The sequence below is a fragment of the Homo sapiens genome, chromosome 7 (genome assembly GCF_000001405.40).
Source record: "Homo sapiens chromosome 7, GRCh38.p14 Primary Assembly".
NCBI classification, from domain to species: domain Eukaryota; kingdom Metazoa; phylum Chordata; class Mammalia; order Primates; family Hominidae; genus Homo; species Homo sapiens.
In genome coordinates, this window is record NC_000007.14 from 54973813 (window position 1) to 54990442 (window position 16630).

The window sequence follows — 16630 nt, forward strand, 5'->3', positions numbered from 1 at the left end:
ACAGTATAAAAATGAAAAAATCTAAATTAATTTTTCTTTACAAATATACATAAAATAAATCATAACTAAAATTTATAAATAATTAAAATCATAGCTTAATCCAATAATATATAACAAAGATAATATATCATGAGCAAATTGCAAATGCCAGTACTTTCACATTAAAAAAAACTATAAATACCATTCAAGACATTAAATACTTAAACAGCAAATATTTTATGACCACCAATAGATGCAGAACAAATTTTGATAATCCATCTCTATTCATGATTTTTTAAAAAAATTTCTGGCAAACTCAGAATAGAAAGAAACTTTTTTAGCCTGATGAAGAGTTATTTACAAAAAGGTTATACATAAAACGTCAGTCTTGATGGTGATATCTTTGAAATAATATCCTTAAAATCAATAATGTGCCAGGCATGGTGGCTCACACCTGTAATCCCAGCACTTTGGGAGGCTGAGGTGGGTGGATCACTTGAAGTCAGGAGTTTGAGACCAGCCTGGCCAACATGGTGAAACCCTGTCTCTACTAAAAAAATACAAAAAAATTAACCAGGCGTCATGACGCACACCTGTAACCTTAGCTACTCGGGAGGCTGAGGCAGCACAGCCGCTTAAATCCAGGAGACAGAGGTTGCCGTCAGCCAAGATCGCACCATTGCACTCCAGCCTGGGTGAAAAAGTGAGACTCTGGTCTCAAAAAAAAAAAAAAAAAGAAATCAATAACAAGATAGGGTATTCATTATCACAATCTCATTCAACCTTGCACTGTAGATCTTCCCCAGAGCAGTAATGGAAAACATAGAAATAAAGCCATAACAATTATAAAAAACAAAGCTCTCATTATTTGGATATAACTCTCTGCATATGAAATCCAAAAGAATGCATGAAAAAATTATTAGAATAATGAGAGTGTTTACTAAGTAGCTGACCAGTAAATGCATTATATATGTCATCAACAATCAGAAAATGTATGGCTTAAAAAATACCATGCCTATATATGTAACATATATGTTATATATGTTATACACATATGTATGTTATATGTACATATGTACGTTATATGTATATGTTACATATATATGCAGAGCCAGATGCATATACACTTAGCTATATACATACTTATAATAAAAATAATAACAAAATTTTTAAGTCACCTAAGAAAAAGTCTAACATAAATTGTGTTAGATCTCTATGAGAAAATTTACAAAAACTTAATTTAAAACATTAAGAAAGACATAAGTAATTATTGTATTTTGGATTAAAAAACTCAGTATTGTGAACATATTATTTCTCTCAAAATTAAAATATAGAGTGGAAGAAATTCCGATCACAATTCTCTAGAGCTTGTCCTGGAACTTGACTAGCTGCTTTATAGTTTTACATGGGAAAAAAAATGTGAGAATAAACCAATCAACATGCTCCTGAAGGAAGAGGATGAGAAAGAGAAAGGACAGGTGGAAAAGGGGTGACTTGGCCATCAGATTTCAAGATTTTCTATAAGGTTTCTCTGGTAATTAAGACAGTGTGGTACAGGTGCAGGAACAGAAACATGGATCAGCAGAGCAGAATAGAGATCCCTGAAACAGACTAATGAATACACGAAAATATTATATATGATAGAGATGGAAGTATAGGCAATTAAGAAAAAAGGGACTATAGAATTAATGAAGCTGGGAGAAATGGTTGGAAAAAATCAATAAACTTTATCCCTACTTTACACAAAAACAATTTTGATATATTGAGAAACAAAACATGAAAGGCAAAATTTTAAGCTTTAAGATGTATATATCATAAAAAAATGAAAAAAAATGACGGGAAGTTGCTTGGCAGTTACAATGTGCATTGCTCCAGTGATGAATGCCTTATTGAAGGCCCTGACTCCACCACAATGAAATCTATCAGTGTAACAAAATTGCACTTGTACCCGTGGTTACATACACCTTTAAAAAAAAGTTGAAAGAGAAATACATGTTTTACTAGATCTTACAAAAAAAGGAAAAGAAAAGAAAGAAATTCAAGAGACAAGCCACAATCTGGGAGAAGACATTTGTGACAATATCCCACAAATAATTCACAAATTGAATATATGAATAACTTTATAAATCTACAAGAAAAAGACCAAAAAAATAGAAAAATGGGCAAAAGACATGAATAGATGGAAGACTAATGGGAAAAAGGAAACGAAAGGAAGCAAGCAAGGAAGGAAGCAAGGAAGAAAGGAAGGAAGGAAGAAGAAAAGAAACGTTTCTCAACTTCATTAGTAATTAAAGATGTTTTATTTTATTTTCAAAATAAGGACACAATAAGACATTGTTGTCAAAATAAGAAAATAATGATAACATTCTATACCTACTCAAAATTGGTAAAAATTTAAAAGTCCAATATACCATGTGTTAGAAAGAATGTTGATTCAACAAGAATTTATACGTTTCCAATGGGTACGTAAATTGGTACAATCATTTTTTGAGGAATAACTGGTATTAATCAAAAAAGCATGGTACTAGTATGAAATGACACAGAGATCAATGGAACAGAATAGGGAACCCAGAAATAAAACCACATATTTACAGCCAACTGATTCTGACAAAGTTGACAAGAACATACACTGGGGAGACACACCTTTTCAGTAAGTGGTACTAGGGAAATTGGATTGCTTTATGCAAAAGAATGAAGCTGGATCTCTAACTCTCCATATACAAAAACCAAGTCAAGAGTGATTAAAGACTTAAATGTAAGACTGGAATCTAAAAATAGTATTAGAAAACCTAGGGAAAACTCTTCCGGACATGGGCCTAGGTAAAGAATTCATGACAAAAATCTCAAAAGCACAGGCAACAAAAACCAAAAAATACACAAGTAGGACTTAATTGAACTAAAAACTTCTACACAGCAAAAGAAATAACCAACAAAGTGAACAGACAATCTGCAGAATGGGAGAAAATATTTGCAAACTATGCATCCAACAGGGGACTTCCTTGGGAAATTCCAAGGGAATTTCAACTCGACAACAAACAACTCAGCAACAAAAAGTCAATCCCCTTAAAAAGTGGGCAAAGGACATGAATAGACATTTTTCAAAAGAAGATGTACAAATGGACAAAAAGCATATGAAAAACTGCTCAACATCACTAATTCTCACACAGGTACAAATTAAAACCACGATGAGATATAATTTTACACCAGTCAGAATGGCTATTATCAGAAAGACAAAAAATAGCAAATGTTGGCAAAGAATGCAGAGAAAAGGGAGTGCTCATACACTATTGGTGGGAATGTAAATTAATACAATCTACGAAAAACAGTATGAAGATTTCTCAAAAAGCTAAAAATGAAACTACCATTTGACCCAGCAATCCCTCTACTTAGTATCTACTCAAAGAAAAGAAATCATTATATCAAAATGATACCTGCACTCATAGTTTATTGCAGCACTATTCACAATGGCAAAGATATAGAATCAATGTAAGTGTCCATTAACAGGTGATTGGATAAGGAAAATGTGGTACATATATACAATATTATTCAGCCATATTAAGAATATTATTCAGCCATAAAAAGAATGAAATCGTGTCTTTACAGGGATGGAACTGGACCCCATTATCTTAAGTGAAACAACTTAGACACAAAGACAAATACCTCATGTTCTCACTTATAAGTGGGAGCTAAACATGTGTACACATGAACATACAGGGTAGACAGTGGAGACACGGGAGGGTGAGTGTGCAGGAGAAGAGTGGATGATGGGCAATTACTTCATGGGTACAATGTTCATTATTCAGGTGATGGATACAGTAAAAGCCCTGGCTTCACCATTACTCAATCTATCCATGTAACAAAATTACACTTGTACCCCATAAATTTATACAAAAAAAAATTTTTTTAATCCAAACATTCACGTACCCTATAATACAACAATTCAATTCTTAGGGGTATACCTAGAGAAACATTTGGGCATGTTTCTCAGGGGACAGGTACCAGCATGTTTATACAGTACAACACAAATGTCCTTAGACAGAAGAATAGTTAAATAAATATCAGTGTATTTGTATAATTAATATTATGTATCAGTGAAAATGAATAAACTATAGGTACAGGAATTGATATTGATGAGTCTTAAAAATACAAAGTTGAAAAAATCAATTTTCAAAAGATTACATACAGTATGTACTATAACATTTATATAAAGCTCAGTAAACAACTATATATATATAAAATCCCTAATATGTATGTGTATCACTAATATTTATCTCCCTAAAAATATCCCATATGCACATAGGGATATACCAACCTTCCAAATAACACTTCTTAACTTCTTTCATTTTCTCAGTTAGATTCCTTGGTCTGTCATGTCACTGGCACTCCTGTTAGTACCTTAAACGGTCTTTCATTATATTCTACCCACCTGGAAAAATCCCTTTGCTCAGGCAACAAGTATAGAGAAGGTTCAATAAAAATTCAGAGGTTCCTACATAAACTCTGACTGAGCAGTCTTCACAGGCCCTCAGTCGTTCTGGCTCCTCCAATCTCACTCTTACTGCTTCAAATCTGTTTCGCTGTTACCCAGCTAACAACGCCACCCTCATCCTCAGCACTTACAACAAATGCTTACACTTTTTACTTTAAAAATAAAACACACCTTTGTCACCTGGACAAGAAACTGATAAAACTAACCTGTGTAGTCACACTTCCTTCCTATTACAAAAGACACTGCCAATTCTCCAATCTCTTCACCTAGGCTTTGGAGCTTCTCCACCCCACTGATTAGTATAGAAGCTTTTGTTGCGTTTGTGTAGTAAGTTTTTCCCTCTCAGTAATGCAGAACCAGGTGCATAATTTGTGGGTCCCAGTGCAAAATGAAAATGCAGAACAGCTGGCTCAGAAGTGATAAAGAATTTCAAGCTGGCAGCAGCAGAGCCTTAACCCGAGGGCAGGGCCTTGTGAGTCCAGGACCACTGCAAGTCAGCTTTATGGCAGGATCCTTCCCATCAGCTCAGAGAGGATACATTCAAAAACAGCAAATCCACCTCTATCTCTGTTCCTGTCCTGCTATGAAAGAACCTCTCCTCCCCCTTAGAAACGTACCTAGCGTTGTCTCTATTTGTTGTCTCTCACACCTGCCCATACCTCAATGCATTCCAAGCCGCCTTCACCCCAGTGGCTTCATGGAGAGCATTATGTCCCAGGACCGCCAAGGGCTGTGGGGTTGCCAAGTCAAACAGTTGTTTTTCAGTTCTCTCCCCGTTCTGAAAACACTTTTCTTAGCTTCCATGAGCCACACTGTCTTGTTGTTACCTCTGCAAGAGATTCTGTGTCTTCTTTGCAGAATCATCCTCCTCACCTAGACAGTCAGTGAACACTAGAATAACTTAAACAAACCAGCCTTTCCCTCTTGCAAATATACCTTCTTCCCTTGGTGTTCTCATTGGAGTCCACATCTTTAGTTTAACTTCTTTATGGTGTATACGTGATGGTATAGGATTGGCATATTTTTATGTAGCTAAAACTGCCATTTCTCTCCCTTTGTAGTAGATTTATTGACCTATTTAGGAAGGCTTTCTCCCCCAAATCCTAGGAACAACCTATTTATTTCTTACCACTTTTATGTTTTTTAATTTTTTTAAAAAAAATTTTGAATTCTATTCCAGCAGAATTTATTTTATATGTGGCGTCTACATTTTAAACCAATTATTTTAGTTTCCAACATCATCTGCCTAGTAATTTGAAATCTCACTTTATCATTTTTTGGAATAAACAAACATTATTTTTATGATCAGAGAAAGTGACAAGTTTTAAATAAGAAAATAATATTGTATATAATGAAATCTGTTTTTTCTTCACAATTTATCAGAGTAATAAATGATCAAAACTAATTCTTTATCACATTTTCTGATAGTTTTCCAATCATTTCATTTTCTATTCAAATCTTAAATAAATTATAATTTTTAAATTTTTTTTTCTCACTTCAGAATATAAGCTCTGTGACAGCAGGGATTTTGTATCTATTGTTCAATGCCTTATCCCTACCCTACAGCTTAAAACAGACTAGCAGGAAGTGTTTAATACACATTTGTTATTAATAGCTAGATAAGTAATTGAATGAATGATTTGCTAGCCAGTTTCTCTAATCTTGTACCTATTTATTTTTTCAAGGTGTTTTAAATTACCTTGAATAATTTTTTTTTTTTTTTTTTTTTTTTTTAGATAGGATCTCGCCTTGTTGCCCAGACTGGAGTACAGTGGTGCACTGCTACCTCGGCTCACTGCAACCTCTGCCTCCAGAGTTTAAGCGATTCTCCCACTTCAGCCTCCCAAGTAGCTGGGATTACAGGCATGCAACACTACACCCGGCTAATTTTTGTATTTTTTGGTAGACACGAGGTTTCACCATGTTGATGGGGCTGATCTCCAACTCCTGACCTCAGGTGACCCGCCCGCCTTGGCTTCCCAAAGTGCTGGGATTACAGTCATGAGCCACTGCAACCAGCCCGAATAATCAGTTATTATACTCTAATATGTCATTGGTCTATAATTATAATTACAAACCCTATTGGTTCCATTGATTTAATTGTCTAGGGGCATGCCAGTATGACTGCATTCCAATTACTGTGCCGGTATGTTACCTTTGTATATGTTTTGGCTACAATATCTGAACTTCCCAGAATAGTTTCCGACAGTCTTATATTTGAATAAATAGGATAATCATTTAGTTTTGTTAAACAAACATTATTTTGTGACTTCCAGTTGACTCAAACACTATTTACTAATTTACAAAAGCTTGTTTTTTAGCCTATCCATGTACATAGTTTGCATTCGGGGATCCAGGGTGTGTGTCAGGGAGGAAGCAACATAGGCCTATCCCCAGGAGGCCTCTCCCCCCAGGACGCCCTCGGGCGCCGTGGAAGAGAACCGGAGATGCTATGAAGGCAGGGCCACCCCATTGGCCAGGAAGAGAGAGGCAAGCGATATCCACGGGCAGAGGGAGCGCAGACATGGGCGGAAGAGCAGCGGCTTCCAAAGGCTGCAAGCAGGAAGGAACAGGCACCAAAAAGAGGGGCTGAGAAAAGGAGCCCGCAGAGGCGGTGCTGGGACCCCGTGCTTAGACAGGAAGAGAGAGGCATAAGGAGGAAGGACCCAGGAAAAATGGAGGAGTACTTTATTTCCTTGTATTTCCTGATCAGAAATTTGACGTTCAGCGTAAGAAAATTAGAAAGCAAAAATTTATGAAAATGAAAATAACATTCACCCATCATGTGAGAAATGAGGACTAATAACTTTTACTTTTAATGTTTTACTTTGTAGCCAAAAAAGCTAAATATTTTTATAGTTTCACATATATGTTTTCCCCTTCCCCATCCATTTCCTGGACCTAATACTTTCATCTTTTTTTCCCACCTTTTTTGATCATATTTTAAATCTTTCTTTCAAACAGATAATAGCTGGATTTTATTTTTTAGTTGAATCTGGTATGCGGTCATTTCTACGCTCACGGGGAGGACCCACAACCAAGACCCCTCGCCAGGTTGTTTCCAGGCCTTGGGTCCTTGCTGGCTCTCAGTGGTGAGAGACTGAGTACACAAATGGACAATGGCCAGAGCATCTATAAGAGTAGAACTCCCACCCACCCCCTGCAGCAGCCAGCCCAGGAGGCCAAGCCTTCATCTACAGGAACCAGCCAGGGAGGCCAGCCTGCTCCATGCCAGGCTTGTAGGAATTCAGATTGCTGTCTCTAGAAATAACATGGGAAATTAAACATTGCAGTCTGTAATAATCAGACCCAAACAGCCAGGACTTGATTAATAACTCACAGTTTCCTAGATTTCATCCCTGCTTCCAATCTAGGGCCAACCAGAGAAAGCCCAGTATGTCCCCTAGCCAGTCCCATGGGATGCCCACTTCTCACCAGCCGCCCCCGGCTTCCTCAGGCCCACAGCCCCTGCCAGGGCACCCGAAGCCTCCCCTTTTCCACGGTGAAGCTTCCCCACTCCTTGCCTGCCTGAGTCTGTCAGGATGCAACTGATGGCCATGGACCCCCTTGCTATAGCAGCTCTGAATAAACAGCCTTTGCCTGTTCTTATTTGGGTGGTCTTCATTTATTTCCACAGTGGGAGACATCAGTTCCTTGACACGTGACCCTCTCCACAGGGCAGCTCAGGACATGGCAGCCAGCTCCCCTCAGCGCAGAGACAGCAGCCCAAGGCTGAAACTGCAGTGTTCATGTCGCTAACCTCAGCAGTGACAGCCATCACTTCCGCTGTGTCCCATTCTTAGAAACCAGTCATTGGCCCAGCCCACACGAAGGGGAGGGGATTGCACGCATGTGCGCTGGCCAGGAGGTGGGGATGACCTCCACCCACCCCACCTAGCGTAGTGACGAATGCACTTGATGTTATCCAATCATAACATGTATGTTATTTACGGCTTATTTTATACCGTTGTCTCTTCCTTTTGTTTTTGACTTTTTTTGATGTTTGTCATATGATTTTCCACATGATTATTTTGAATGTCCTCTGTATATTTCCGTTTCATTAATTGTAATTTTCCTTTTCTCTGCTCTCAGAGACAGATGCATTTGATGAGACTATTTTTTAAAACAAGGGACCTACTATTTTCCCTCCATGAAATTCGTTGTATCATTACGACGAGACTGTCTGATCATACAATAAGAGGTTGCCTCTAAAACAGATCCACCGCTTAAGTCTTTCATCCCATTGTGATCTTTAAAACTTGTTCACACACCGCTCTCTCTGTGCTGCCCTAGGCAACTCCAATACCTTGCTAATATGTTGGTCATTTGTTAGGATTCCCTTCACATGTGTCTCGGTTTCAAGAGTCCTCATTTCCTACTCCTAAGATGTTTAGTCTTGTCAATTTTCATACACGGACAGACAGAGGTCTGTTTTCCACTGCTATTTCCTCTTCTGTTTCCAAACTCCCATGTTAAAATCTGTCCTCTTGGTTTGTTTTTACATTTTTTTTTTCACTTTTTACTGAACAGCAAAGTGCACACATCAAAAATGAACAACTTGATGATTAAATGTAAACCTACTTACGTAACTTTCACATGCCAGGAACTAAAACACAGCCAGCACCCAGCAGCTCCGTGCCCCCTGCCTCAACCCAAGGTAGCACCATGCCGACTTCTGATGCCAGGGGTCCATTCTGCCTGGCTTCAAACTTTCTGTCAAAAGAATAATGCATCATTCACTAATCTGAGCCTGACCTCTTTCACTGAAAATTACGTTTGTGGATTGATCCATGTAGCTTTAGTTAATTCTTTTTAATTAATAGATAGCTTTTACTCATATGAATTACCATTTACTCATCCATTCTACTCATGGTGGACATTTTGGTTGTTTCTAATTTGCAACAATTACAAACAATGCAGCTATAATCCTTTGTATGTGTCTTTTGGCACATGTGGGCTTGAATTTGTTAATTCTATATCTAGAAGTTAAATTACCGGTTTACAGGAAATAAATTTTTAATTTTAACAAATAGTTTCCATTTCCAATACTTGTACCTCTTTGATTCCCAGCAGCAATGTCTAAAGTTTCCCTGTTCATTTGTTTTTTTTTCTCTTTTAACTCAGCATTTGTTACGTTTAATAAAGACTTACTTGAACATTGACAACTAAAACAAAAGAATTTCAGGATTCTAAACTTTACAATTATTTACCAAGACTTTATCAGCATCTGCAGAAAATTAGAGCCCTGATGTCCTACCCACGTTCTCAGTCCCACGTTGAACACTAAGAACAGGGTCAATCAGAAAACTTACAGAACGAGATGCTATTGTGGCCATAGAATGCTTGCCACCTAGAAAGTCATTTTCTTCTTCTTACCTATAAAATTCCAATAGTAATTGTAACAGCTAAAATCTGGCAGACCCTAGAAACTTAATGAAGATAGCTATATTCTTTATAGCTATATTGTTTATTCATTGCTGCTGTTTTAATTTTATTTTTATTGAGGTAAAATATATATGTAAAATTTACCATCTCTACTATTTTTAAATGTTTTATTTTTAATTTTATGGGTACATAGTAGGTGTATATATTCATGGGGTACATGCGACATTTTGACACAGGCATACAATGTGCAATAATCACATCAAGGTAAATGGGGTATCCATCACCACAAGCATTTCTCATGTCGTTGTGTTACAAACAAGCCAATTATACTCTTTTAGTCATTTAAAAATGTACAATAAATTATTGTTGACTGTAGTCACCCCATTATGGTATCAAATACTAGATCTTATTTAATTCCCTCTAACTACATATTTTTACCCATTAACCATCCCCACTTCTCTAACTTCCCTGCTACCCTTCCTAGCCTCTGGTAACCATCCTTCTATTCTCTATCTCTGTGACGTCAATTGTTTTCATTTTTAGCTCCCACAAATGAGTGTGAACATGTGAAGTTTGTCTTTCTGCACCTGGCTTATTTCATGTAACATAATGACCTCCAGTTCTATCCATGTTGATGCAAATGACAGGATCTCATTCTTTTTTATGGCTGAATAGTACCCCACTGTGTATATGTACCACATTTTCTTTATCCCTACCTCTGTCGACGGACATTTAGGTTGCTTCAAAATCTTGGCCATGGTGAACAGTGCTGCAATAAACATAGTAGTGCAGATATCTTTTTGATGCACTGATTTCCTTTCTATTGGGTATATACCCAGCAGTGGGATTGCTGGGTCATATGGCAGTTCTATTTTTAGTTCTTTGAGGAACCTCCAAACTGTTCCCTGTAGTGGTTGCACTAATTTACATTCCCACCAACAGCACACAAGGGTTCCCTTTTCCCCGCATCCTCACCAGCATTTGTTATTGCCTGTCTTTTGGATAAAAGCCATTTTAACTGGAGTGAGATGATATTTTATTGTAGTTTTGATTTGCATTTCTCTGATCAGTGATGTTGGGCAACTTTTCATATGCCTGTTTGCCATTTGTAGGTGTTCTTTTGAGAAATGTCTATTCAGATCTTTTGCCCATTTTTTCATCTGATTATTAGACTTTTTCCTATAGAGTTGTTGGAACTCCTTATATATTCTGGTTATTAATCCCTTGTCAGATGGGTAGTTTGCAAATATTTTCTCCCATTCTGTGGGTTGTCCCTTCACTTTATTGACTGTCTCCCCTGCTGTGCAGAAGCTTTTTTAACTCAATGGGATCCCCTCTTTACCATTTTCAAGAGTACAGTTGAGTGGTAATAACTATGTTCAGATTCTTTTTTCTCTCTCTCATCTCTCCCTCCCCATGTACCCTTCCCAGACTCTGATAACCACCAATCTACTCTCTATCTTCAGGTGATCCAGTTTTTTATCTGCATATATGAGTAAGAACATGTGATATTTGTTTTTCTGTGCCTGATTTATTTCACTTAACATCCAGTTACCGCAAATGATAGGATCCATATTGCTGCACATGACAGGATTTCATTCGTTTTCATGGCTGAATAATATTCCATTGTGTGTATACCACATTTGTTTTATCCTTTCATCCGTTCATGGACACTTAGATTGATTCCATATTCTTGCTGTTGTGAATAGTGCTGCAACCAAAATTATTGGACCATAATGATCATTTTATTTCAGCAATTTTCACAATGAGAATGGATAACAATGAATCATTTACTGGGTTTGTATGTGGGCAATTCAGGAAATGGTCAAAAATATTAAATGAGTTCTTCATGACTCACTCAGTCACAGTTGTCAGAGCCAGTCTTGGTGATTTCTTTTAGCTGATTGCAGCCACTCTCATCTTCGATGACTCTGCTTGGTGCAGAATATCACTTCTGCATCTGCTCATTTGTCCAAACATTCCATAAGGATTATCCAGCTCTGCGTCAACACTGCCTGGAGCAGGAGGACAGCGAGGTGAAGAGGGCCGAGCTCTCCTATTCAGATGGACCTTGTCATTTTGTTTTATTCCCCCTCCTTGAACCCTTCATAAACAATTCAAAGAAATGTACAAACCCATGTGACAAGCAGTGAAGCTCACCTGGCAGCCACTGCCTGTCTGGGGCCAAGACTCAAGTGTGGCTGAGCAGGACAGAGGGTTCCCAGTCAGGAGATGTCAGCCATAGGTTGAGCTGTAAGATGCCCTGAGGTCTTAGGGACAGTGAGTGTCCCCTGAAGACCACAACAGCACCACGAGATGCTAGGGAGAGCTGTGTCAAATGCTGTTCCTATGGACTCCAAGCCAAGAGGGTCTGCCAGAGGCTAAATGAATTGTTATTTCTTATGAAGAGAACAGGAAAAAGTAAACAGAAAATATTCAAAGCTATGAGAAGGCTTTTCTGGAATAAGGAAATATTTCACAATGCAGATTAACCCACAAGAAACACATTCTGGAGAACACACAACAAGGCACAGCCCGTGAAATTACTGTATCTCAAGGATGAAGAATCATGTAAGTATTCAGGGGGAAAAAAAGCGAGTTACATTTTGGGGAGGAAGTAGGGTTTCCTATAGTAACCAGAAATGCCAGAAGATAAATGAAACTGCCCACCAGAATTGTTACACAGTAAATTTCTCCTTCAGGTAGAAAGGCCACAGAAGTTCTCAAACACGTAAGAATCTAGAGAGATTATTGCATCAATAGTTTTTTTAAATAAGATTTTTAAACACAAAGCGCAACAAAAGTGCTTCATAAGATCCCTACACTAATCCAAACACAGCATTTATGGTACTGAGTATTCAATACATTTAAGTATATAACTATGGAAAGAAATAATTGTGGTGAATAGTGATTATAGAAAAGGATGTAACTGTGATTACCATGAGCACTTAATATAATACCAAACATTTGTAAGGACACAAAGAAATGGGATGGCTCACACATTGCGGGTGGGAATGTAAAATAGTCCACTGATCCTGGAGTGGGGCGGTTTCTAAAGACTAAACCTGCACATATCATACAACCCAGAAACTGTACTCACATGTGTCTATTCGGGGGGGGTCCCTGAAAATCACTCAAAAACCTGCACATGAGTGTACATAGATGCCTACTGGTGATACCTTAAAACTGGAAACAACCTAAATATCCTTCACCAGGTGACTGGTTAAACAAACAGTGACACATTCATGCCACAGAATAGTATTCGGCAATAAAAAGGAATGAAATATTGATACATGCAACAACATGGATGGATCTCGGGGGATTATGTGGAGTGAAAAAAGCCGGTATCAAAAGGTTAGTTACCTAATATGTGAATCCATGTATGTGATATTCTTGAAATGACAGAATTACAGGGATGGAGAACACATTCTTGGTGCCAAGGCTTGAAGAATCCTGGTGATAGAATTATTCTGCGTCTTGGTTTGTGGTGGTCACACAAATCTACACATGTGATAAAATTGCATGGAATTAAACACATACACATATAAGTACATATAAGGCTCATGAAATCTGAATAAGGTCAGTGGATTGCATCAAAGTTGATTTCCTGGTTGTGATTTTGTACTATATAATGTATATATGCAAGATGCTATCTTTGAAGGAAACTGGATGGAGGCTAAACAGAATCTCTGTACTATTTCATATATTTCTTTGTAGATGTGAATCTATAATTATCTCAAAATAAAAATTTTAAAATTAAATAACAATATAAATAAGAAAAATGGGGAGTTATAGGATAATAAATAACTAAAGCCTAATGCTAAAATGCTTAGTTAATCAAAATAATGGTCTTTTAAAGGTTTTTATAACCTTTGCTTAAATTTAAAGAGATAATTTAGAATCAAGATAAAAATAAATTTCAGTTGTTCTAATTTCACTTTAGTTTCTTTTAAGTTCAAGTAAAATTAAATGTAATATAATTTATTTCAAAATAACACATGTAATTTGATTTTATTGTTCTACAATTATTTCTGCCCATTTTTTCTTTCTTGATATCTGCAACTACACACAGACACTAGACTTAGAAAATTTTGCACGTAATGCCAAGAATGATTACTTCTTGTTAATGGGATTTGATCTAAATTTTTAAACTTTCTTTATTATATTTTTAAACATCTGATTTTTATCGTGGATATGTGTTATGTTTAACCCTAAATAAACAACAACCAGGAAACAAACAAACCACCAATAAAAAAGCACCCTCTGACCTTGAGGAGATCATTGTCCAGAATGATGACAAGCATGTAAACAAAGATTTACAAGGCAGGTCAAAGTCTTCACAAACACACAGAGAAGGAAGAAGCTCAAGCTGCCTGGAGTCAGGAGTTAAAGAAGGCTGCCCAGGGCTGATGAAGCATTTACAATACTGTTTTTTAAAACAGTCACTCTTGGTAATTTTACAAGTTCTGGCTGGAAAATCACACCATAGTAAAAATGGTTTCAAGTCAGACTTTCTGCTATGAAATCCATTTTGGCTAGTTTTGATGATTTATTGACACAACTTTATAAAAGGTAAAAACTGTAAGTAGAAAAGCTTGGATTTCAAGGCCAAAAAGTGGGCTTTTGTTTGTAATAAAGAACAGTTTTCATAAGCAGAGCTTTACTTGAATAAGACACTTTTCAAAAATTCATTTCTATTATTTCAACTATCATTTATTTTTATCTTTATAAAGATGCTATTAAGGCCAAACACTGCAGTATGCTAGTAACCTACTGTTTTCACTTATACATACAATAAATGAGCTTACAGATTATTAATTTTCATAATTAGTTGGCAATTTTTCTAATCATTAAATAGCAGGTATTAATTTGTCCCTTTATCTTCTTAATCTCTGAATATACAATTCACATATTTTTCCTCAGGACTTGACACCACACCAAAAGCTCTTGTACTCACAGGGATACATAATCTAAATCTTTCACCAAATCTATGTCTAATATTTGTACAGTTGACTGAGCATGTCCCCATCTATTTACAAGGCCTAATTGTGTAATAAGGTAATTGGCTATCATAAAATCATGGAGGTGGACATTCATCAGTCCAATCTCACCCACAGTCCTAGCTCTCCTGAAACATGGTCCCTCAGCTACCGAGTAAGCAGTAGAGTAGTTTTAGGAAACTAGTTCTTCACAATCTAGACAGAAATATGCCAGTGGAATTGATCTCGTATCTCTATAGACATACCTTGTGTATTTTATACTATCACAATTTGTGTTCAGGAAGGCTCTGTAGATTGCAAATGACAATAACTATCTCAATCATGTGAAAGAAGAATGGGGTGGTGAGAGTTCTTTGCAGAGTTCTTTGCTGAATAAATTATAGAATCTGGGAAATACCACCACCACCACCACCAAACATGAAACAGTCCTTGGTTTTTTTTGTTGTTGTTGTTGCCCCAAGGGCTTCCACATCAGTAATTCATGGACCTTCCCTTTGCAACACAGCCATCAACACCTGACTACACACTTGTCTCTGTGTTTTAGTTCAAATAAAACAGAGAGATTTAAATAATCCACCAGCCTCTAGGGAGCTCGTGCTTGCGCAGTGAATACCCAGGGTGGAGTGTGAGTTCTGCAGGAGGAGAGTGAGAAGAATACATCAATATATTGTGATGCCATTAATGTTGCTAATTCCATTGATTTCCCTTTTTTCACTGAATTGCATATTGGAATGTTGGCTAGGTACAGCCATTGCTTATGAACTGTAGCACTGGCAATGCCAGCTTTAGTTTCACAGTTCTTCTCAAGTGTCTGCAATAACACATCACACATGTGGGTAGTTAGTGCCATTTTTTATAACAATGAAAATATGGTTTGAACCACTTTCACAAGTTAATAATCCACAAGCAACATATAATTGCAAAATTGTCCACATACTACATAAAAGAGATGTCATTTTTGAAAACCAGATGTGATGACATTTGTAGAGTATTTAACTCAGAATACATGTCACATAGCTGAGTAACGTTTATTAAAACCTCATGTTGTATCTCCTGATTGTATATGTAAATGTATTTTTATGGGTTTTGGAACTTATGTGCTTCTGTTTTTTTATGGTTCTGAAAATGAGTAGAACAGGGTGGGGAAGAAAACCGAGACCTGTCTCACCCCGTAGTGACTGGTTGTAAAAGCCACATTTTTGCACAAATATTATGATAGAAAGTTGCCATGTTTGTTCATTAAGGAATAATATTTGAATTTCATCATGACAAGCAACTACTGTCTCTCAGTAGAAATTCAATAACAACTTGCCATTGAGGGGTGGAGAATTGGAAATTAAGCCAAGATGCTGAGGTTCTCTTCTTAGACAAGAAGTAATTGTGCTGTTCTGTGATGTTGAGGAAATTACTCTGTGTCTCTGAGTTTTACTTTCTTTGTCAGTAGGAAATGAAATCGCATATGAGGGGACTAAGACTCTACTGTATGACAAATGATTCACTTACATTATGTCTAAGCCTCAGAACAAAAACACAGCCATCCCCAGATGTTTCACAACTGGCAGATAGAATTTAAAATCAAATTCTAACAGCCTCTTATCTTGCGTGGGCTCTCAGCGTACACACCCCTACTCAGCCCTGCCTAAGAAATTCACAAAGGATCCAGGCCCAATGCACGCTCAAGAACAAGCCTGTGTCACCTGGATGCCCACATCTCTGTGACCTGGCACCTGTGTTGTTACTTCCGGCTATCCCCTCACTCCTCCATCTCCCTGGGTCT

The 16630-nt window shown here is 37.2% G+C and overlaps 2 annotated features.

Moving 5' to 3' along the window:
• Positions 8074 to 8573: an enhancer, noted in NCBI's record as "H3K4me1 hESC enhancer chr7:55049579-55050078 (GRCh37/hg19 assembly coordinates)". NCBI's record gives its function as "activates a minimal SCP1, AML or CMV promoter by ChIP-STARR-seq in naive H9 embryonic stem cells {active_cell/tissue: H9 hESC(naive)}" and the evidence as "EXISTENCE:reporter gene assay evidence [ECO:0000049][PMID:30033119]".
• Positions 11296 to 12495: an enhancer, noted in NCBI's record as "P300/CBP strongly-dependent group 1 enhancer chr7:55052801-55054000 (GRCh37/hg19 assembly coordinates)". NCBI's record gives its function as "activates an origin of replication core promoter dependent on BRD2, BRD4, P300/CBP, MED14 and CDK7 cofactors, with strong dependence on P300/CBP, by STARR-seq in HCT116 cells {active_cell/tissue: HCT116}" and the evidence as "EXISTENCE:reporter gene assay evidence [ECO:0000049][PMID:35650434]".